A 23,488-nucleotide genomic window follows, 5' to 3' on the forward strand; every position below is an offset into this window, starting at 1 on the left:
AGGAAGAAAAGTGGAAAGAAATCCCTTATGGACAGTGTTTTGCGTTGCTTTGGCAATATAAGCTGATAGAGAAAAATGTAAAGTTATGGTACAGGAGACTGTTACTAAGCCTGTACTGTTGGAGTCATAGGAAAGGGAAGATGATACTTTGCTAGATCAGTTAAATGAGCTGTCGGTGCTCCCTCCTTCACCTGGTGAAGGAGCTATGGCCAGGCCACTGGCACCAGAGTCATAGTCCCCACGAGGGACCAAGAGGCCACGAATGATGAGATGCAGGAATGATTTCCCCTTCTCACACCTGTCAGAGGTTCCAATTTGGCCAGGGAGCCACTTCAGCTCCAGCAGGACAATTTTCCCTTCAACAATTTCCTAGAGGAGGCATTGACGAGGACACAGGGCAACCCATGGGGCTCATTTGGGTACAATCTCTATTCTCTATTTCTGATCTGTTAAATTTGAAAAATAGTATTGTCGGCTGGGCACGGTGGCTCACGCCTTAATCCTAGCACTTTGGGAGGCCAAGGAGGGCGAATTTCCTGAGCTCAGGAATTTGAGACCAGCCTGGGCAACATGGTGAAACCCCATCTCTATTAAAATCCAAAAAAAAAAAAAAAAAAAAAAAATTAGGCATGGCGGCATGTGCCTGTAGTCCCAGCTACTCGGGAGGCTGAGGCAGGAGAATTACTTGAACCCGGGAGGCAGAGGTCGCAGTGAGCCAAGATGGTGCCACTGCACTCCAGCCTGGCAACAGAGCGAGACTCCATCACAAAAAAAAAAAAAGAAAAAGAAAAAGAAAAAAAAGAAAAATAGTATTGTCACCTGTTGAGATGGTCCAAAACCAATGGAAAATTTGTTCTTTTCTATATTTGTTTTCTTCTGTATCCTATATCCCACAATCCTACCTGAGCCAATGTTCAAACCTTGTTAAACACACTTTTACTCTCTGAGGAGTGACAAATGGTCTTAAAAAAGCCAGAGACAAGTGTTTGCATGCTGACTCCCCCAGTAACCGGGTAAGGTCATCTTAGGTTGCAGTGCCCACAGCTGCCCCAGGTAAAATGTTAACACTGGGCATAGGCCCAAGCTCAAGCATTATTGTGATCACATTCTGGCTGGACTCTGTAAAGGAGTGCCAAAGCACAGGAGCCTTAACAAAGTTCAGGGAGTAAGGCATAAGCCCAGTGAAAGTCCCTCAAGTTTTCTGGAATATATTTTTGAAGCGTTCAGGGAATAAAAAGAAAAAAAGTTTATTTTTTCCCTATTTAGTCTTAATATATAGCCTTGAAACATACTTTAAGATTGTTTCCCTCCCTTTCCCACCATACACTCCCTTATACTTACACATTTATCTAATTGTAAGCTGGTATCTAATTATGTGCTTACTTAGAAGTTCCAGGGGCTAATTTTCAGGCAGAACTAGGCATGGAAACCCAGTTGCAAAATTCCAGATGCTACTTTAAGGCAGCTAGTCAACAACCTGGCCATTGTTAAGATGATGCCAGCCCATGCTCCAGGTGGACCACGACTCAATATAGCCACCAGAACAAGACACATAGACCTTGTACCCAGCACCACTCCCTGCATGCCACCCATTACAAGTTCCTTTTAGGGTCCCTCTCTCCAGTCTAAAGTTTGAAATGGTTCCTTTAAGGCATGAGCTTTGGCCATTCCCCAACTGCCAGCTATGGAATAAGGTCATTTTCACTGCATCTCATCCTTCTTATTGGCTTTGCAAACAGCAAGCAGCCGAGCCTGAATTTGGTTACAAATTTGGTGGCCCATACGGGAAGCACTGTGTGTTTTGAGTGGTCTGAGCCGGTTGATCTGGTTTCCAACAAGTGAGGCAATTGGCTGCAGAAATGTGCCAGGGCTTAACCGTTCATGCTATGAGATGGGACAAGAAACACTAATGAATACCAGCTGCTCATGGCTATCTGACTCCATCGCTGGGGCACTAGGAAATTTCCCTGAAGCTGCTGAGATACCTTTGTCTCGAGAAACCTCCCTTCTCTCCCTGTCACAGTGTCTGCTACCTACTATCCTTCTCTGGTACAAGGAAAGTGACATCTGAAGAAGTCAATGGACTTCAGAACTAGCTAAGTCAACCAGAGTTCACCTGGATCCCCTCTGCCTCTTCTGTGATGCTACTTGGGATCTGTTCTGTTTGGACCTAGCTGCTTGTGATGCCATTTGGGTGTGTACACCATCCGTGGCACCATGTGAGCTCTGTTCTGTTTGGACTTGGCTCTTCGTGGGGCCATCTGAGGTTGAGAAAAGCCTTCAGGATTTGTATGTAGCCCCTCTCAGTTGGGATCTATCTGGGAGTGCACTGTCTGAATCTGTGACTGTGTGAGTGTGTAGCATCTACATTGGGCCCATACCTATCTCTCTCTTTCTCTCTCTTTTTTTTTCCCAGAGTCTCACTCTGCTGCTCAGGCTGGAGTGCAGTGGTGTGATCTCGGCTCACTGCAACATCTGCCTCCCAGGTTCAAGCAATTCTTCTGCCTAAGCCTCCCAAGTAGCTGGGACTATAGGTGAGTGCCACCACATCCGGCTAATTTCTGTATTTTTAGTAGAGATGGGGTTTCACTATGTTGGCCAGGCTGGTCTCAAACTCCTGAACTCAGGTGGTCTGCCCACCTCTGCCTCCCAAAGTGCTGGGATTATAAATGTGAGCCCCCAGGCCCAGCCTTCTTTCTCTTTCTTTCTTTTCTCTGCAAGGTGACCTGCATAAGTCCCCGGTCAATCCAGGGACCTAGCCCTGGAGGGGGACAATCTCTACCACTTTGACTAAGTCATCTTTCTAGGACCCCAAAGTATATCTTACAGCTGTGCCAGACCTTGTGGGGGAAAAGAAGTGTGTGGACTCTTCTGCGGGTTATCTAAGTGGGCCTGTCACCCTGCTTACAGTGCTCAATGCTGTCTGTGTGAAAACAAGGCTGAAAACACCTGGGGTAAGTCCTTAAGTAATCCCAACTCCAACCCTTGTTCCCCTTTTTGTCTCTGATTTGCCATCCCCCTTTGTTGTCATTCAGTCATCCTTTATCAGAGCACTGAGCACAGCAACAGCTGAAAGTGGGACAAGGTTGATGTGGTAGCGGATATTATTGCCAGTCTCCCCCTACCTGTCCAAGAAGTTCATTCTCTGATCTCTCTGACTGTTTTTGCTGTGTGGCAGGAATTGCACAATTGTGCCTATTGGAACTGTGAGTGGTTTTACTCACATTGGTTGTGTGAGGTCAGGAAGATCCATCCAACTTCTAGAAGTCTAGTTATGGGAGATGATGAGTACAGGAGCAGAAGAAACAAGGCTGTGAAAAGAAGGTGTCACCACTGTTTCAGCAGGGTCAAGTGGTACAGGTACAGGAACCAAGCCAGAATGGGCAACAAGGTCTCAATGCCCTCTAGAAGCCCCTGAGTCGCATTCTCGCTAACTGGAGGGCTTATAGCTAGGAGCTCATGACCAAGAATAAGATGATCTATTATTACAATATTGTTTTTTGTTTGTTTGTTTGTTTCTTGAGATAGAGTCTCACTCTGTTGCCCAGGCTGAAGTGCAGTGGCACAATCTTGGCTCACTGCAACCTCTGTCTCCAGGGTTCAAGAGATTCTCCTGCCTCAGCCTCCCGAGTAGCTGGGATTACAGGCACGAGGCACCATGTCTGGCTAATTTTTTAATCTCTTTTAGTAGAGATGGGGGTTTCACCATGTTGGCCAAGCTGGTCTCAAACTCCTGACCTCAGGTGATCTGCCCACCTTGGCCTCCCAAAGTGCTGGGATTACAGGTGTGAGCCACCTCACCAGGCCTACAATACTGTTTAGACTTCTTACAGATTAGGTGATGAATTTGGCCTCTGAACAGGAGTACCCTGTACTGGACTTTAATTCAGTTAGAATTATTTTGTCAGAGATCTGGGAAATGGGAAGAAATGCCTTATTCCAAGTTCTCATATTATTGCAAAATCAGGATTCAGGATGGGGCAGGGGGCTTCTGCTGGCTGTACAAAGAGATGAGAAGAGGGTCTTTCATAAGCCAGATAGCCAGATGCAGGAACAAAGGGATAAAGATTTCTTTTAAATGCTTTAAACCCAGCTGCCCCAGCAGCTCCTGCCGCCATGGCTGCTGCACCACCTTCTCCACAGCTACTTGGCTGCCTCACCACCTTCTCCACAGCTAGTTGGCTGCCTCACCATCACCACATGATGCTCCAAATTTGGAGGAAGGGGCTACTGCCCCATCTCAATATGATGAGGGAGTTGGAATGGTCTGTCCCTCCAAGACCCAACAGGGCACTCTGTTTGGACAGGGCAATACTGTGACTGGAGCAGGGCAATTCCCACTTAGGCAGATGCCTATGGGTGGTTCACACATAGAAGTGCCATCTGTCAGACATTACTGGACTTACAGCCTATTTTCAACATCCAACTTGCTAAATTGGAAAAGCTCCAAACAACCTTATAGAGAAGACCCCCAGAAAATGACTAATCTCTTTGAATCCATCTTTGCTACCCACCAGCCCCCCTGGGCAGATGTTTGGTCTTTTTTATTATGCTTCTGACCACAGATGAAAGAAGGCTAGTAATAGAGAAGGCAAATGAAGAGGCCCATCACCTCCATGAGACAAACAATATCTCCGATCCTGCAGGGGCAATTCCAGGTACAAACCCTAATTGAGACCCCAATTGAGATGGGGACATGACCCATCTGGAACACTACCAAGCATGCATTCAGGTCAGAATCAGGAGGGGGCGCCAAACCAAAAGAGCTTCAATAAAGTTCAGACAGTCATTCAAAAGGCAAATAAGGACCGCTCTGAATTCTTAGAATGCATTTACCAAGCCTTCTGCAGATACACTGATATGAAACCAGAAGACCCTGAGAATTCGAGGTTGGTATATAAGACTTTCATTCAGCAGAGTGCCCCTGCTATAAAGAGAAAGCTAGAAAAGAAAAGAGGCTGCACTGGAATTACCCCTTCTCAGCTAGTTGACATTGCTTTCACAGTGTACAATGGCAAAGAAATACAAGTCAGGCACCGTATATGTGGAATAAGCAGGGAAGCCTCCATGCCAGAAAAGTCAGGGTAAGCCTTTGGGCCACAACCAATGCACCTGTCATAAGGAAGAGGGCCAATGGAAGGTTAACTGCCCCAAAATGAAGGAAGCCAAGGGCCACAAAAAAAGGAAAGCGCGAAGGAAAGGACCCACCAGCAGATGGTGGAACCAGGACTACAGCTCTGATAGAGAATGAGGAATTTCCTCACAGAAGCCCTGGGTGCAATTGACAATGGGGAACAAACTAATTGATTTATTGGTCAAAAAGGGAGTGACCTACTCAGTTCCTAACACCCCAGAGGCAAAGAGCACCAAAATGACTGTGCCTGTGACAGGGGTTGCAGGAGGAAGGCAACAAAAGGCTTTCTTACAACCTTCAGAATGCAAACTGGAAAACCCGGAACTAAGGCACAGCCTTCTCTATATGCCAGAATGGCTGATTCTCCTGCTAGAACAAGACATACTATGCAAATTAAGTGCTCAAGTAACTTTTTCCCCCGGAAAAACAGCAATTATACCTGCAGGTCCCACCAGAACAGACACTGAGACTATAGATGCTACTCACTCACCCTGAGATGAAAAAGGAAAAAGCTTTTTCCCCAGAAGTCTGCTAAAGAGTGAATATTGCATTTGGGCAGACGGGGGTCTCAGGAAAAGCAAGAAACATGCAGCCAGTGCACATGGAGATAAAAGAGGGGGCTGGAGTGCCCTGGAAAAAAAAATCACCCATTAAAAAAGGAAGCCTCAGAAGAGATAAAATCTATCCTACAAAAATTTCTGGAAAATGGACTGACCTGTCGTTATAAGTTCCTATATAACACTCCCATCCTGCCTGTAAGAAAGCCACATTCCAATGAATATCGATTTAAGACCTGAGCGCTATTAATGAAATAGTCCAGGATATTCATCCAATGGTACCTAACCCATATATTTTACTGCTATACCTGGAAACTACAGATGGTTTTCAGTGTTGGATCTAAAGGATGCATTTTTCTGCATCCCAACAATTGTTTACTTTTGAATGGCATGACCTAAAGACCGAAGTGACCTTCCTTGCTGGCCATAGCGGTTTATGCCTGTAATCCCAGCACTTCAGGAGGCTGAAGCACTAGGATTGCTTGAGCCCAGGAGTTCAAGACCTGTCTGGGCAACATAGTGAGGCCCTGTCTCTACAAATAATTTAAAAATTGGCCTTGGGCCAGGAGCAGTGGCTCATGCCTATAATCCCAGCACTTTGGGAGGCCAAGGCAGGAAGATCACCTGAGGCTGGGAGTTCGAGACCAGCCTGACCAACATGGAGAAACCCCATCTCTACTAAAAATACAAAATTAGCTGGGTGTGGTGGTGCGTGCCTGTAATCCCAGCTACTCGGGAGGCTGAGGCAAGAGAATCACTTGAACCTGGGAGGCGGAGGTTGCAGTGAGCTGAGATCATGCCATTGCACTCCAGCCTGGGCAACAAGAGTGAAACTCTCTCAAAACAACAACAAAAAATTTGCCTGGCATGGTGGAACATGCCTGTAGTCCCAACTACTTGGGAGGTTGAGATGGGAGGGTCATGTGAGCCCAGGAGTTTGAAGCTGCAGTGAGCCATGATCACACCACTGTACTCCAGCCTGGGTGACAGAGCAACACCTTGTCTCAAAAAGCAAGAACAACCAGGCACGGTGCCTCACACCTGTAATCCCAGCACTTTGGGAGGCCAAGACAGGTAGATCACTGAAGGTCAGGAGTTCAAGACCAGCCTGGCCAACATGGTGAAACCTGTCTCTACTAAAAATACAAAAAATTAGCTGGGAGTGGTGACGTGTGCCTGTAATCCCAGCTACTCGGGAGGCTGAGACAGGAGAATCGCTTGAACCCAGGAGGCGGAGGTTGCAGTGAGCTGAGATTGCGCCACTGCACTCCAGCATGGGTGAAAGAGCGAGACTCCATCTCAAAACAAAACTTGATGGAGTCCTGCTATACTATGTAGATGACTTACTTATAGATAGCCTCAAGCAGGAAAAATGTTTGTCTAACACCATCCTAGTTCTAAACCACCTGGCCCAGGGTGGATACAAAGTGTCTGTTTACAAATCTGTAAACAAAAAGTAAACTTATCTCAGATTCAGGTTAAAGAAAGGCAAGAGGAGCCATCAAAGCTCCTGAAAATAGGAGACAACTTCAAGTATTCTTAGGCATGGCTGGCTTCTGTTGGATTTGGAGTTCTAGTTTTGGACTGATGACTAAGCCCCTTCATGAAACCCTAAAGGGATTAGACTCTGAGCCCCTGCCTTGGACGGCCAAGTGCCAACACAGATTTAATATCATCAAGGAAAAGCTAGTATCAGCCCCAGTGTTGGGATTGCCAGAATCCCAAAGGCCATTCAAACTCTACATTTATAAGAAACAAGGCATAGGTCAGTCTAGGTGTGCTAATCCAGAAGCTGAAGACACCCCACAGCCAATACACTATTTTTCTAAACAATTGAATCAAATGACTAAGGGTGGACCCTTGCCTTCAAGCATTGGCAGTCACTTGTGAAGTCCTACAGAAAGCAGAAAAGTTTACCCTGGGACAGCAGGTCACTCTCTTTGTGCCCCATCAGGTGTTGACTTTGCTAGAACAAAAGGGAGTTTACTGGCTCACTGTGGGGTGAATGGGGAAATACCAAGCCATCCTCTTGGATGACTCAGATATCACCTTGCAAACCTCCAGGCTCTAAACTCTTCCTCACTGCTCCCAGCTACTGAATCTGATTCCAGGTTAGAGTATTACATTTTAGAAATTGTTCATGCAGTCTATTCCAGCAGGCAGGACCTGTCAGACCAGCCATTGGATGCCCCAGATTGAGAACTGTAACCTAGGGGAGCAGTTTCATGGAAGATAGACAACACAGAGCTGGGTATGTCATGGTGACCACCAACAGGGTAATACAAGCCCATGCCCTTATCTCCACACAAAGGGCTGAGTTAATTGCTCTTACCAGAGCTTTAAACTGTCCCAGGGGAAGCAAGAAAACATTTACACTGATTCCAGCTACGCTTTCATGAAAGGACATGCTCATGGAGCCATCTGGGAAGAAAGAGGCCTCTTGACATCAGGAGACAAGGACATTAAGCACCCAGTGGAAATTCTGGCCTTATTAGAAGCAGTTGCCTTGCCTGCCCACACCTCCGTTATGCACTGCCCCGGACACAAGAAAGATAATTTGCAAACAACAGGTCAGGCGCAGGTGGCTCATGCCTGTAATCCCAGTATTTTGGAAGACTGAGGTGGGTGGATCACCTGAGGTCAGGAATTCGAGATGAGCCTGGCTAACATGGTGAAACCCCATCTCTACTAAAAAATACCAAAAAAATTATCCAGGCATGGTGGCGGGTGCCTGTAATCCCAACTACTCAGGAGGCTGAGGCAGGAGAATCACTTGAACCTGGGAGGCAGAGGTTGCAGTGAGCCAAGATCGAACCATTGAACTCCAGCCTGGGCGACAAGAGCAAAACTCTGTCTAAAAAAAAAATTTGCAAACAACCAAAGGCCATCAGGCAGCCAATAAGACTGCAAAACAGGCTGCTTGGGAAGCAAAAACACTGGAGGCCTTAATATCCCATTTGAACTTATCAGACTTCAAACCTCATTACACTGAACAACATAAAAAATGCACCAGGGCCTGGAGTTTGATAAAACAGATTCTAATTCTCTCTGGGAAACGAATGGTTACAGGATGATCTTACTCCCTGAGGCCTTAGTTTACCCAATTTTAAGCATCTGCACGAAGGGACACGCTATGGGAGAGAGGCTCTCGCTGACCTAGCGCATTACAAACGGTGGCTTCTCTTCAAAATAAAACAGACTGCTGGGTCTGTGGGAACTACTCCTTTCCTGCACTGCATGCTTGCCATGGTGCTTACAAGCCGCCAACCTGAGCAATTGGAGTCATTTATATACCTGGTATAGGAGTTCATACCCATTCCCCTTCTATGATCATAGCACCTCCCACAGTGGGTTCCCCTCCTACCAGGAAACTCAGAGACACCTTATTTGCCTATTCTATTAATAGATTAACAGTACCCCCACCTTGGGATATGCTGTATGTGATGGCATGGGATGTCTGACCGCAGTACAAATACAAGTAATGGGTCAAGCACACCATAGCCCACCATATGGGATGGTTACATCCTCAACAATGTAGCCAATCTCTCCAGCTAACTGATGGTATGTGGCTAGGATAGCAGAATAATGCCCATCTTCATACTGGGGCCCATCCCTCCACGTGGGGTTGGCTATGGGCCTGCGGCACTCATGGTTGCATTACTTACCTTATAATGGAACCAGGAGATGCAACTGGGGGCACCCTTACCGGGACATATCCTGTCCCATCTGGATCCTCTCCCTGCCAATTGGGAAAGCATAAAAGCCAGATATTGTCATCAGAAATGGACACCCTTGTGGTTTTACCCCCCAGGAGGCGGCCATAGATGTAAAATTACAAGTAGAGGCCGTAGCTAAGCATATGGCTGCTGCCTTTAATAACACTCACTCTGCCATCACCTTTCTCCCTGAAGAAACCTCACAGATTAGACAGCCTTAAAGAACTGTATGGCCTTAGATATCCTGCCTGCAGCCCAAGGTGGCACATGTGCATTAACTAAGACTGAGTCTTGCGTGTATGTGTGTGTGTGTGTGTGTGTATCAGATTATTCCCACAGTGTAACCCTAGCTATGAAGGCCTTAAATATTTCCACCATAGATGCCTCATCCTAAGGCCTTGTGATGGCACGCTTTAGTCAACTCCCTAGTGCATGGAAGACTTATACATCGCTTAATTGGCATTCTACTCAGTGTCTTCTTCAGCTGCTATGGATTTTATTGCTATTGTGCTGTCTGTATGGGGATGCAAGACAGACTTCTCAGCAGCTCTTAGTTCCCCACACCAAAATGCTCCAGCAAGTTCCCACTGTCAATCTGGGAATTCAAGAATATTTCCAACTCCAGGTAAGCAGATTCCATCCCATTACCTCCTAATTATGCCTCTTTTCAGCAGGAAGTAGCCAGATCGCCTGCATTGACCACTTCCCATAGAAATGGATGGGATTTGACAGTAGGGAGCTGTAACCAAGTAACTGAACTTCAAAAATGCATTTCAGGCCAGGCACGGTGCTCAGGCCTGTAATCCTTGCACTCTGGGAGGCCTACGCAGGTGGATCACCTGAGGTCAAGAGTTCAAGGCCCGCTTGACCAACATGTGAAACCTCATCTCTACTAAAAATACAAAAATTAGCCGGGCGTGGTGGCAGGGCACCTGTAATCCCAGCTACTTGGGAGGCTGAGGCAGGAGAATCACTTGAATCCAGGAGGTGGAGGTTGTAGTGAGCCAAGATCGTGCCACTGCACTCTAACCTGGGCAACAGAGCAAAAACTCGCCTCAAAAAAAAAAAAAAGAAAAAGAAAAAAAAGAAAGAAAGAAAATGCATTTTAAAACTTTTTTCTTTTTTTCTCTCTTTTTTTTAGTCTCAAGATATAACCTTGAAGCAAACTGCAGAAATTTTTTCCCCTCCTCAGTCTTAATATATAGCTTTGAAACATACCAAGAGTCTTTGTTCCCCCGCCATTTCCCACCGTACACTCCCTTACGTCACATACATTTATCTGACTGTAGGCTTGTATCTAAATATGTGCTTACTTAGAAGTTCTAGGGACTAATTTTGAGACAGATTACAGGCATGGAAACCCAGCTGCAAAATTCCAGAGATTACCTCAAAGCAGTTAGTCAACAACCCGGCCATTGTGGGGATGATGCCAGCCCATGCTCCAGGTGGACCATGACTCAAGATAGCCACCAGAACGAGACGCACGGACCTGTACCCAGCACCACTCCTTGCATGCCACCCACTGCAAGTTCCCTTTGTAAGCCCCTCTCCCCAGGCTAAAGTTTGAAATGGTTCCTTTAAGGCACAAGCCATGGCCACTTCTCCAGTGCTAGCTCTGGAATAAAGCTTCTTTCTTTTCACTGCATCTTGTCCTTGTTATTGGTTTTGCAAGCAGCCAAGCCTGCATTTGGTTACATTTTATTGTTTTAAAACTACTTTCAAATGCATTACTTCTAAAAATTCTCAAAATTACTCACTGATGTACTAGAATATATCATCAGATATGATGCCTTGAAAAGCTCTAGAGCTCTTTCTTAGCTTGCTTCTTCGAACATTGGCTCAGGTAGCTTCTCTCTCCCACCTCTCTCTACATTCCTTGAGTCACTACTTGAATTTAAGTCTTCAATAGATAATGCACACTTGTTGGAAAGAGCTCTGGATGTGTGGGCACATGACAAACGACTGATTTTCCCTCAGAATCGCCTCTCAAGTCATCCAAATCCAGATGCCCAGAATTGTTTCCTTTATCTCTTCTCTATCATCAAAAGACCTAGAGAGTAGGAGGATGCATAGAACCTGCTCTGAGGCAATAAGACAGAGCAGGGATCTATCTTAGAGGTGAGCAGGGCACCCTCCCCAACCCAGCATGGAAATAAAGGAAAATCTTCAATTTCTTAGCTAGCCTTGAAAAGAAAAAAGAGGAACTAGATAAGCAAGAAGGTAATGCTAGCTTAAAACAATAACCAGGGAAGTTAGAATCAGGGGATGTTTGGTTCCCTATAGAAACTAAAAATAGCATCTTAACATACATCCCTGAGTTCTTCAGAAACTCAGACCCCCAACAAACAGATCTGCTGGCACATAGACCTCAGATAAGGGGGAAACTGAGGACTAAACTCTCACCACCGTTCATCTAAATTATTTCGAGTGGCCTGGAGAAAGTCACACCCATGATCCAAAGCTAACATTCTGTTCTGCTGACCCCCATTCTTAAACAAACTTTCATCTCCTTAACCAATTGCAAATCAGATGATCTTTGACTCTACCTATGACCTGTGAGCCCCTGCTTCAATACCTTGCCTTATTCAGCCAAACTAATGTGTAATCTCCACATTTTAATTTACTATTTTGCCTGTAACTTTTGCTTTCCTGAAATTTATTCCCGCCTTTATTTAATTATTTATTTATTTTTTTGAGACGGAGTTTCGCTTTGTCGCCCAGGCTGGAGTGCAGTGGCGCAATCTCGGCTCACTGGAAGCTCCACCCCCCAGGTTCACGCCATTCTCCTGCCTCAGCCTCCCCAGTAGCTGGGACTGCAGGCGCCCGCCACCACGCCTGGCTAATTTTTTTGTATTTTTAGTAGAGACGGGGTTTCACTGTATTAGCCGGGATGGTCTCGATCTCCTGACCTCGTGATCCGCCTGCCTCGGCCTCCCAAAGTGCTGGGATTACAGGCGTCAGCCACCGAACCCGGCCTTTTCCCGCCTTTAAAAACCCTTACCTGAAGTCATCAGAGAGGTCAGGTCTTCAGTGTGAGCCACAAGGTTCTCCTTGCTTGCTGCTTTGCAAATAAACTCCCTCCTTTCTCCTGCCGCAGACCTTGGTGTGGATATTTGATCTTACTGTGCTGGACGATCAGACCCCAGTTCAGTTCCATAGGAACAATATCTCTCCCGTGCCCCACAGAGTCTATCAGCACATGATTCCCTATTATTCAATGATTGCTTGACAGGAGCTGAAGTATGAAGAAAAGTTCTGGATATAAACGGAATATTCTGACATTCTAATAGCTAGGTGGTCCAGTGACAAACTCAACCAAGGTGGCTCAGGTAGGAGTGGCCTTGCGGATGTTGATAGAAAATACATTCAAGACCAGGTACAATGGCTCACGTCTGTAATCTCAGCACTTTGTGAGGCCGAAACGGGCGGATCACTTAAGGTCAGGAGTTCGAGACCAGCCTGGCCAACATGATGAAACCTCGCCTCCACCAAAAATACAAAAAACTACCAGGGTGTGGGGGTGCCCACCTGTAGTCCCAGCTGCTTGGGAGGCTGAGGCAGGAGATTCACTTGAGCCTGGGAAATGGAGGTTGCAGTGAGCCAAGATTGCTCCACTGCACTCCAGCCTGGGTGACAGAGGGAGATTCTGTCTCCAAAGTAAATAAATAAATAGAAAAAGAAAATACATTCAAGTATCTTACATTATCCATAAGTGAAACCTTTGGTTACTGTTACTGAAACAATATTCGTTGCATATACCAATTTAGGGGGAGTTGGTATGAAACGTGCTGGAAATTCCAGATGTGATATGGAAAGGTCACCCATGGGATGCTCACACAAACTCAGTTTAAGGGCTGGTGGTCTTGACCAGAGTGAGCTGAGTTTAGGGCTGAGTCTTGAGTTCCTGAAAAACAATTAGGTCAACACCTTGTGATGCATACTTCAGAGTCAGATGTGATATATAGGAACATTGTGGAAACTATGGCTAGGCTACCTGACATTTTACTAAGGCAGTAAGGACTACAGCGTCAGCAAAGGTTATTGTTAATGAGGACTAAACTCTGATTTTTTTTATCTTGCCCAAATTCCTATCTAAGGGGTCTGGGGAGTCATGCCCTACAAATCATCAATTCTCATCAGATGAGTTTTATTTAACCCTGTATATCATGTTTTACTTTCCAACCTGACTCTGGCATAACATTACCAGACAAACAAGAAAAAGTATTTTGCCCCAAAACATGTTTCTTTGCCACATTTTGAAATTGCCCTGCAAAGCTGTTCTTTGTGGGGGAAAATTTGCATCTGTAAAGAATCTCTATTAACATAGCTAAATATTTTTCTTCCAGACCTTCCAATCCTAAAGATATTAATTAAGATCTGAAAGGGAAACATTTGTCATCTATTGTCTCTAAGGGCAGCCACTATAAGACTTCGAAAGAATTGGTCTCTACCATCTTTATTTTAACCTGAATATTCCCTTTCTATCAATCTCAGGTCTTTAGACAAAACTAGTTGTCAACCAGAAAATGTTTAAATACACCTATGGCCTGGAGGCCCTCCACTCCCCATCAGCTTTGAGTTGTCCCGCCTTGCTGGACCAAACCAATGTATTTCTTAAATGTATTTGATTGATGTTTCATGCCTCTCTAAAATGTATAAAACCAGCTGTGCTCCAACCACCTTGGGCACATGTCCTCAGGACCTCCTGAGAGCTGTGTCATAGGCCATGGTCACTCATATTTGGCTCAGAATAAATCTCTTCAAATATTTTACAGAGTTTGACTCTTTTTTTTTTCTTTTCTTTTGTTTTGAAATGGTGTTTTGCTCCTGTTGCCCAGGCTGGAGTGCAATGGCGTGATCTCGGCTCACTGCAACCTCTGCCTCCCAGGTTCAAGCGATTCACCTGCCTCGGCCTCCCAAGTAGCTGGGATTACAGGTGCCCACCACCACGCCCAGCTAATTTTTGTATTTTTAGTAGAGATGGGGTTTCACCACCTCGGCCAGGTAGGTCTTGAACTCCTGACCTCAGGTGATCCTCCCGCCTTGGCCTCCCAAAGTGCTGGGATTACAGGCGTGAGCCACCACACCCAGCTGACTCGTTTCATCGACAATAACAAACTGCCTAGTAAAACTTCAGATACTGGCTACCTAATCATAACTATCTGGCCACCAGTTTCACTAGATACTCTTTCACCTCTCAACGAAAGTCCCACAGTTCACAATGTTATAAGTGGCTTTCTTCAGAGAAGTTTCTGTGTAACATAGCATAACCCTCCAGGGACTTCCCAGAACTTTGTCAGAAATTGAGTGCAGAAGCCAGGTCTCTCGTTGTCTACTGATAGCACCAGATAACCCCTTTCTGGGGTCACCTCACTCTAGGGTCTTGCACTTCTTCTGTGCCCTGGAGTCAGCCTTTGATGTTTGTAGCCTTTGCTTGAGGCCACTGTCTGAATAAACTCAAGTGTTCCAGATGAGAAGATACAGGAACAAGTTCACATAATAAGGCTATTCCCCATCACCACCTCCACTACCAATCAGCTGGAGCCTTGCAGCTCCCCCTGCTATTCCTTTCTCCACTGCTGCAGATTTCCAGGGCCCTGAGGAAAGGAGGACTCAGACTCTGCTCTTCAGATCCACACACTGATCCCAACTACAACCAGTGACCTGAACTTGGAGTCTGAGTAGGGTAAGAAGGGCTCTGCTGAGGATGTTTGGGGGACAGCCAGGAGCACTGAAAGGAGGCTGATTGAACTTTTAGATAGCAAACAATGGAGAAGGATCCAAATCATGGAAAACAAAGGTGTGAATTCTGGTCAGCCTCAGTCCCACTGATACAGGCTTTCCCTGCCCCTCCCTTCCTTCACCCCCAGTCTTCTCAAACACAATGCATTAAAACCGCTTACATCCTGCTCTTCTATCCTCTGTAGGTCTTTATCATCAGGACAGGGTTCCACAGATAGGAAGTACCGACCCTTTGTTCTGTGTCTGATGTGGACATTTGACATCATTAGAAGTGCTCTCAAATACATGCGTCTCATTAGACACTTGCAGGTCTGTAGGGAGCTATTATTAAGTCCATCTGAGGACACCAATGCTCAGAGTTGTGAATCAGGTTAGAGATTCAGTAAGGGCGGGAACACTTCTCATGGTAAATGAGGACAGAGCACTAGTTTAAACGGTAGACTCTTTCAAAAAGATCCCCACACTCCATGCTATCACCACAGAAGCCACTGTGGGGGCTCTTTTAGTCTTGGTGCTTGATTGATTACAGGAATATTTCAAATCTGGAATTCTGGTTGGGTGTAGTGGCTCATGCCTGAGAATCCCAGCACTTTGGGAAACCGAGGTGGGTAGATTACTTGAGGCCAGGATTTTGATACTAGCCTGGCCAACATGGCGAAACATTGTCTCTACTAAAAAAAATACAAAAATTAGCTGTGTGTGGTGGCAGGCACCTATAATCTCAGCTACGTGGGAGGCTGAGACAGAGAATCTATTGAACCCTGGAGGTGAAGGTTGCAGTGAGCCAAGACTGTGCCACTGCACTCCAGCCTGGGTGACACAGTGAGACTCTGTCTCAAAAATAAATAAACAAATAAAAACCTCAAAACTGGAGTTATTTTATGATGACATTTTCAAGGAGCAGCTCTGACAAACCAAGATCATTTGTAATAGTGATAATTAGGGGAATGACCCCTGAGAAGGAATATGGGTAGTTAGTAATGAACATACGTTCCACTCAGGCTTTGGAGAAAGTGTTATAAGGAAGTCAAGATTGGAGAAGCATCATTAAGTAATTGGAGAAGCAGGCAAGAAGTAATTGCAGGCTAGGCTGTCATTTTAGCGAATCGAAGCCTTCCTACCTAGGAACCACTTCCCAAGTAGTTACTCATTTTCTACATTTCCCTAAAATCTGACAACCCTTTCCACTTCAAGGACATAAACCTTAAAATATCATTCTCTTTTGGACACATGATCTCCTGAGAGTTGGTCTGGTAAAAAGGAGCCAGCTGGAGGGTGATTGGCTCCTCAGGTTGGGTGTAAGAGAGGGATGAGAGGAGATGGTTGGAATTCTCAAAATGAACTTCATCTATTTTTTCTAATTATGTGTTTCGCTTACACAGGCTGAAGCGTGTTTTTAGTTCTTAGAAACTCTATTCTCTAATGAGAATTAGCATCTTCTCATCGGGGAACCAAATAGTAAAATTGCACCCAAGTGCCTGCCTGGTGGGGAAGGAATTTTAAGGTGGAGTTCAGCTCTCTGGGCATTGTCTGGATAATGCTTTTCTTTCTCTTCTCTGTGGACACGCAGGCGGCCCCGGTGACTGAGATGGCATCGTCTCTAAAGATCTGGGGCACACTCTTGGCCCTACTTTGCATCCTATGCACACTGCTTGTACAGAGCAAAGAAGTTTCTTGGAGAGAATTCATGAAACAGCACTACTTAAGTCCAAGTCGAGAATTCAGAGAGTACAAATGTGATGTCCTCATGAGAGAAAATGAAGCTCTGAAAGACAAGAGCTCTCACATGTTTATCTATATCTCATGGTACAAAATCGAGCATATATGCACTAGTGACAACTGGATGGATCGCTTCCGAAATGCATATGTATGGGTCCAGAATCCTCTCAAAGTACTCAAGTGTCACCAGGAGAATTCCAAAAATAGCTACACAGAGAGCAGGAGCTTCAACTACATTGAATTCCATTGTAGCATGGACGGGTATGTTGATAGCATAGAAGACCTAAAGATGGTAGAACCTATCGGCAACTAGAAAGTCTATGCACATCCTCAGGTATTGGTAGAGTATTCAGTGCTTTCTAAGTAGCAGCCCCTGCCTCCATCAATAGTCCTACCACTCCCCTCTTGCATTTATTTGTCAATGTTTTCCAAATACTTAGAGTTATGAATAGCATAATTTCTTGATACCATAACTTTGCCTGTGTTGTTTCTCTGCCTGGAATACACTTTTGTCTTCATTTACCTAATTTACTCTTATACTTTTGTCGACATTCAGCTCATATGGCATCTGTTCTTGATTAACCCAAGACTTTCCTGATATTGACTCTCTTGATACATACCCAAGCTGAACAATCTTCCCTTCCCTAAATAAATTATATGACTGCAATGTGTGTGACATTCATATATGTTATGTGCACAGAGTGAGTATAGTGTGATTGATATGGGTGTGTGTGATCTAGACTATGCATGTGATTGATGCTGTGCAAGGGATTGAAGGTGTATTTTATGGGTGCATATCTAATGTATGTAATATGTTTGTGTATATGATGAGGGTATGAATGATTGTGTGCTTAGTTCAAGACAAGTTGTGATGTAGGCATTGATTGCAGCATCAATTTGAAATAATCAAAAGTGTCAGAATCCAGTTTTAAAGAGTTGATTCAAGCAAAAGGCTAGGAGTGGCCATTCGGTAACACACAGACTCCACAGAAATGGAGTCAGTGTTCCAAAGCTGAAAATTAAGTTCTTGCTTATGTAGGAAAAAGACAAAAGAATTTAACAGGATTACAACAATTTCTATAACAGCTGGTTTAAGAGTTACAACAAATTAATTAGTTACAGTTTGTCCCCCAAGTCTTCTTTTCTTTTCTTTATAGTTTTTCATTTCCTTTCCAATTTAAAAGAGTGTATTTAACATTCCATCTTAATGTGATAGCGATGAAGTCTTTCTAAGAGGAGAGGGAAGTTACTCTATCATGAAGATCAACAGTGGAGAGGGAAGGAGTCTTCCCCTGTACCCTTCAGTAATTTACAACATTTCACCGAACAATGCAGGTAAGAAAGAAGGTTTAATCTATAAACATAGAAACCACGGTTACAGCTGCCTTGGTTACAGTGGCCTGGCATGTGACTCAGGCCCCCAAATCACATTTCTTTAAGGTTAAAAATAATTTAGAGTTCCAACAACTGGGTCGTTAGATTGCTTATTTTCACAGTGGTGACATGCTTTAGTTCCATTCAGATTTTGGGGCACTGGCAGAACTCACTGGGTGTAAAACATGTAGCATGGTTTCTTGCTCATAGTAGGTGCTCAGTGAAAATTGCTTCTTTTCTCAACTCATTATTTGGCTTAGTACTTTCATTTTGACTTTGATAAACAAACATAACAAGTGCTCATCAATCATTTGATCTCCCTAACTCTAGAGATGGGGATTTATAAAATAAAAATACATGCTGGGCATGTTGGCTCACATTTGTAATCCCAGCACTTTGAGATGCCGAGGTGGGTGGTTAGGAGTTTGAGGTCAAGAGTTCACCATTTGAGGTCAGGAATTTGAGACCAGCCTGACCAACATGGTGAAACCTTGTCTCTACTAAAAATACAAAAAATGAGCCGAGTGTGGTGGCACATATCTGTAATCTCAGCTACTCGGGAGGTTGAGGCAAGAGAATCACTTGAACCCAGGAGGTGGAGGCTACAGTAAGTTGAGATCGTGCTGCTGCACTCCAGCCTGGGTGACAGAACCAGGGCATCTCAAAAAACAAAAACAAATAAACAAACAAAAAATACAGCAGGCTGTCATCTGTGAGGACTGAATTCTGACCTTTTTTTCTCTCTTGCCCAAATTCCTGTCTAAGGGGGTTGGAGCATCACACTCTGAAAACCATAAAATATTATTAGGTGGGTTTTATTTAACTCTGTACAATTCATGTCTTATACCCAGTCAGTTCTGCCAATACCCCAAAATCTGAGTGGAACTAAAGCACGTCACCACTGTGAAAATAAGTAATTTAATGTGGCTTACCTTCCAACCCAACTCTGCCATAACATCAAATGACAAATAAATCAAAATATTTTATCCCAAAATATTTTTTGCCTTATTTTGAAAAATGGCCCTGCAAAGCCATCTTCTGTGGGGAAGAGTTGCATCCGTAAGGAATCTCTATTAACATAACCAGATCTTTCCCCTTCTAGGCCCTCCCAATCCTGAAGGATTAACTAAGAGTCTAGCACCTTTTAAAGGTCTGAATAGGGAACGTTTGCCATCTATTGTCCCTAAGGGTAGCCACCTGTGAGACTTCATCTACATAATAAGAACCTTGTCTCTACAACCCTTTATTTTAACCCAGACATCCTTTATCTATTGAGTCTAGGTCTTTTCAATAATAACAACTATTTCAAACAATTGCCAATCAGAACATCTTTGAATTCAACTAATTCCTGTAAGCCGTTGCTTCAAGTTGTCCTGCCTTTCTGGACTGAACTAATGTATACATCACATGTATTGACTGATATATCTCCCTAAAAACTATACAACCAAACTGTAAACCAATCACCTTTGGCACATGTTCTCAGGTCCTCCTGAGACTGTGCCTTGGGGCCATGGTCACTCATATTTGGCTCATAGTAAACCTTTTTAAATATTTTATGGAGTTTGACTCTTTTTGTTGACATTTGTACGGAAGCTATACCTGCCTAGGATTAAAAAAAAAGGAACTCCTCTTTTATCAACCACAGACCTATAGATGTCCCTACTGGACTCAATTCATTAAGAATGTTTCTGCCAGGCGCAATGGCTCATGCCTGTAATCCCAGCACTTTGGGAGGCCAAGGTGGGCAGATCACGAGGTCAGGAGTTCGAGACCAGCCTAGCTAACATAGTAAAACCCATCTCTACTAAAAATACAAAAAATTAGCTGGGTGTGGTGGCGTATGCCTGTAATCCCAGCTACTCAGGAGGCTTAGGCAGGAGACTCGCTTGAACCCGGAAGGCAGAGGTTGCAGTGAGTCGAGATCACGCCATTGCACTCCAGCCTGGGTGACAGTGCGAGACTCCGTCTCAAAAAAAAAAAAAAAAAAGAATGTTTCTAAGGGCCAGGTGAGGTGGCTCATGCCTGTAATTCCAGCACTTTGGGAGGTTGAGGCAGGCAGATCACTTGAGGTCAGGAGTTCGAGACCAGCCTGGCCAACATGGTGATACCCTGTCTCTACTAAAAATAAGAAAATTAACCAGGAGTGGTGGCCCATGCTCGTAATTCCAGCTACTTGGGAGGCTGAGGCATGAGAATCACTTGAACCAAGGAGGCAGAGGTTACAGTGAGCTGAGATCACGCCACTGCGCTCCAGCCCTGGCAACAAAGTGAGACTCTATCTCAAAAAACAAGAAAAATGTTTCCAAGAAGATCAATGTATATTACATGGACTAAAGCATTACATTTCCTAAGGACAACACCTCAAATAGAATATATTAGCACAAATAATTTTATCTGAAAATAACCATTTTTACGTGGTAGAGACAGGACAGTGGTTGGAAGACTTTAAACTGCAATACTGCTCAAGAATGGAGCTTAAGACTTAAATTTTGTTGTAGGAAAGAGGAAATAAATGGGATAAAAAAGTGTTGGGAAGGCCAGGTGCGGTGGCTCATGCCTGTAATTCCAGCACTTTGGTAGGCTGAAGCAGGTGGATCATGAGGTCAGGAGATTGAGACCATCCTGGCCAACATGGTGAAACTCCATCTCTACTAACATACAAAGAAAAACATTAGCCAGGTATGGTGGCACGCCCTTGTAGTCCCAACTATTCAGGAGGCTGAGGCAGGGGAATCGCTTGAACCCAGAGGTGGAGGTTGCATTGAGCTAAGATTGCGCCACTGCACTCCAGCCAGCCTCAAAAAAAAAAAAAAAAATTGGTTCACAAGCAGGTTAAGTGGATTGTGCCACTGACTCCAGCCAGCCTCAAAAAAAAAAAAAAAAAATAGGGTTCACAAGCAGGTCGAGAAATTCTGTTTGCTAATTGCAGGAGTGAGATGCAAAGTAAGAAATGTTTACTTCATACAATTCTCCCTGGAGCAGTATGGGCCAGGGAAAATGCTAAACAATAAAGTACCTTGTGTTCTTCAGACTCCTACAATGTGGAATGACTCTGGCCTTGAAACAATTAAAGAAAAACCAAAGTGTCAACATTATTTATTAAGTGACTGCACACTTTCCTATAACTCTAGTAGCCAGCGTATAAGGCAGTTCCTCAGCTTTGCAATTTTTGAGTGCACCTGGGGAGGAGCAGACACCTGGGGATGACAATCTCTACCAACCAAACTCAGAAGAGACTAGTATTAAACCAGTAGCTCTGCATGTAGGATCAATATACATATGAGAAGAAACAATACTGTTTGTTTTTCTCAGTTGACAAACGCTCTTCAAAATGTATGTAGGGAAGGAAAAAATTTTCCTTCTACCCCTTTGGTTCTTGGCTGGGGCCACCGAAACAAAAGTCAGATTAACAAGAGAAAAATAGAAGTTTAGTAACATGTGCATCTCATGCATACATGAGAGAAATTCAGAAAGCAACTCAAAGAGGTGGCTAGAACTTGGGCTTAAATGCCTTCCGCTAAAGCAAAGGAAGAAGCATGTCGGGGAGCAACTTACAGGGGGATGACCAGGAAAAGTACAGTAAACAAGGGAAAGCTTTCTCATGCAGATTTAAGTCAGTACCTTCTCCGCTGATAAGGGTTTCTTTTGATTTAGAGTCACCTTTCTCTTTCTGGTGAAGAAAGGGAGACATCCTTACAAATGAAGATTTCCCTTATAAACGCAAATGTCCCTTACAAAACAGCAACGTGCACTCTATTTTCAGAGTTTGTCTTGTGTATACTGCTTCTCAAAATAAGCAGTTCAAAATAATATTCATAATAAAGAAGCATATTTTGGGGTGGCATATTCTGGTCTCCTATAGTAGATTCTCACAAATACCTCATTTAAGTAACTCTTTAAAACTTGCTTTTATTAAAGGGTTAGCAGATGGTTGTTCAAAATAGTATAGGAGGAAAGTAGATTTAAGGGCAATTAGTAATAGCTTTGTGTTGTTTCTCTGGCTTTCCCGGTGGTCCACCCCTTATTTGGATAGCTGCATATTGACTCTCCTTAGGTATCTACCCTTCCTCTTTTGTGTGTAGTATTGGTGAGGCTGTCCACTAAGGTCTGCAGTCCCCTCTACTGAGCCAAGCGATGGTTATGAGATCCAAGCTAGCCTAACTGAAGTCTCATAGGAAACAAGAATATGTCACCCCAAAATATGCCTCCAGGTTGAAAGTCCTGTCAATTAGCATTTTTGCTGCTCTGCATCCTTACTGGCTTTGATGATGTCAGTTTTCACTGCATTTTAGTCATTCATGTAGGTGTGTAGTATTATCCCATTGTTTTAATTTGCAATTTTCTAATGACAGATTGAAGGGATTCACAGCCCACCAATATGGCAAAACTGCCCTTGCAGAGTTATGGAGTGTTGCAAGCCAGGCTCTAGGCAGAATTGCACATTAATCATAGCATGCTGGTACACTTCAACCCACTTCCCTGTAGCTTCTAATTTCCCAAGTAGCATGCTGACCACCTACTCCCCGATTGTTCCTATAGGTAGAATCTCCAATACTAGAATCATGAAATCTTTTTGCTTAAGAATTGCTTAAGGTGTTTTTCTGATCCTGAATTCCAGTGCAACAGCTAATGCTAACCAGTCTAAAGACCCCTACCAAGGAACTGGCTTGGCACATGAATGCTGAGTTTCTTCATGTCCCTGTCCCATGACTTCACCTCTCACTTCTTGATGAATCAGAAATGCTCACATTTTGGCCCTTGTCCAGACTCCTTAAAAACCCTATCCCCAAACCCAAAACCAAATTGTAGGTTACCTCCCATCTACTCATTTGGCTGCCCTATGAAAATTAAACTCTCTCTTTTTCAATCCCTGTTTTCTTAATATATCCATTTGTTGTGCATCAAGTAACAAATCTGTTATGATGATAGTGGCATGAAAATTATTTTAAACTGAAAATGTCTGAACAGACAGAAGCTGCAGAAAGAAACACTATTTAAACTTAACCAGAGCCTCTTGAAAATTCAGCTGCCATTGATCCCCTTCAAAGGTATTTTCCTGTTTGAAACGAGACAGCCCCTTAGCACTGGGATGTGTAAATTAGCTTCCATAAACCCCCATACAGGGAAACTTCCAGCCAGGAAGAAATCAATCTACCCATTTCTATTAGCATCAGAAAGCTTACTAGAACCTTCCATATTTTCCTTTTGAAGCCCCAACAAAAATCTTTTATTTTTTATTTTATTTT

At 44.1% G+C, this 23,488-nt stretch overlaps 1 protein-coding gene and 1 long non-coding RNA gene across 4 annotated transcripts in view, besides 3 other annotated features; one reads left to right on the forward strand and one right to left on the reverse strand.

Annotated features, from left to right (window-relative positions):
- Positions 1 to 23,488, reverse strand: part of LOC107984671 (uncharacterized) — a 74,578-nt gene that overhangs the window by 27,462 nt on the left and 23,628 nt on the right. The window contains exons 2-3 of one of the 3 annotated variants that reach the window (XR_001750623.2): positions 9,357 to 9,430; positions 3,225 to 3,311 (exon numbers count right to left, since the gene is read on the reverse strand). This is a non-coding gene — a long non-coding RNA (uncharacterized LOC107984671). Of the gene's footprint in view, positions 1 to 2,694; positions 3,312 to 9,356; positions 9,431 to 23,488 lie in introns of those variants that run through there. The other 2 variants (XR_001750622.2, XR_001750624.2) reach the window with 2 other exon arrangements.
- Positions 14,699 to 14,978: an enhancer, noted in NCBI's record as "active region_8094". NCBI's record gives its function as "activates an Ori minimal core promoter by ATAC-STARR-seq in GM12878 lymphoblastoid cells {active_cell/tissue: GM12878}" and the evidence as "EXISTENCE:reporter gene assay evidence [ECO:0000049][PMID:35858748]".
- On the forward strand, positions 14,991 to 17,535 carry EDDM3B (epididymal protein 3B). The gene is made up of 2 exons (NM_022360.5): positions 14,991 to 15,093; positions 16,720 to 17,535. Exon 2 carries the CDS (start codon positions 16,738 to 16,740, stop codon positions 17,179 to 17,181), a length of 444 nt encoding a protein of 147 aa, NP_071755.1. The 5' UTR covers positions 14,991 to 15,093; positions 16,720 to 16,737; the 3' UTR covers positions 17,182 to 17,535.
- Positions 19,042 to 19,804: an enhancer, noted in NCBI's record as "OCT4-NANOG-H3K27ac hESC enhancer chr14:21240614-21241376 (GRCh37/hg19 assembly coordinates)". NCBI's record gives its function as "activates a minimal SCP1, AML or CMV promoter by ChIP-STARR-seq in naive and primed H9 embryonic stem cells {active_cell/tissue: H9 hESC(naive and primed)}" and the evidence as "EXISTENCE:reporter gene assay evidence [ECO:0000049][PMID:30033119]".
- Positions 21,522 to 22,125: an enhancer, noted in NCBI's record as "NANOG hESC enhancer chr14:21243094-21243697 (GRCh37/hg19 assembly coordinates)". NCBI's record gives its function as "activates a minimal SCP1, AML or CMV promoter by ChIP-STARR-seq in naive H9 embryonic stem cells {active_cell/tissue: H9 hESC(naive)}" and the evidence as "EXISTENCE:reporter gene assay evidence [ECO:0000049][PMID:30033119]".

Source organism: Homo sapiens, chromosome 14, assembly GCF_000001405.40.
Source record: "Homo sapiens chromosome 14, GRCh38.p14 Primary Assembly".
NCBI classification, from domain to species: domain Eukaryota; kingdom Metazoa; phylum Chordata; class Mammalia; order Primates; family Hominidae; genus Homo; species Homo sapiens.

Coding starts and splice junctions, on each gene's coding strand:
- EDDM3B (NM_022360.5), top strand. CDS start 16,738: ATGGCATCGTCTCTAAAGATCTGGGGCACACTCTTGGCCCTACTTTGC.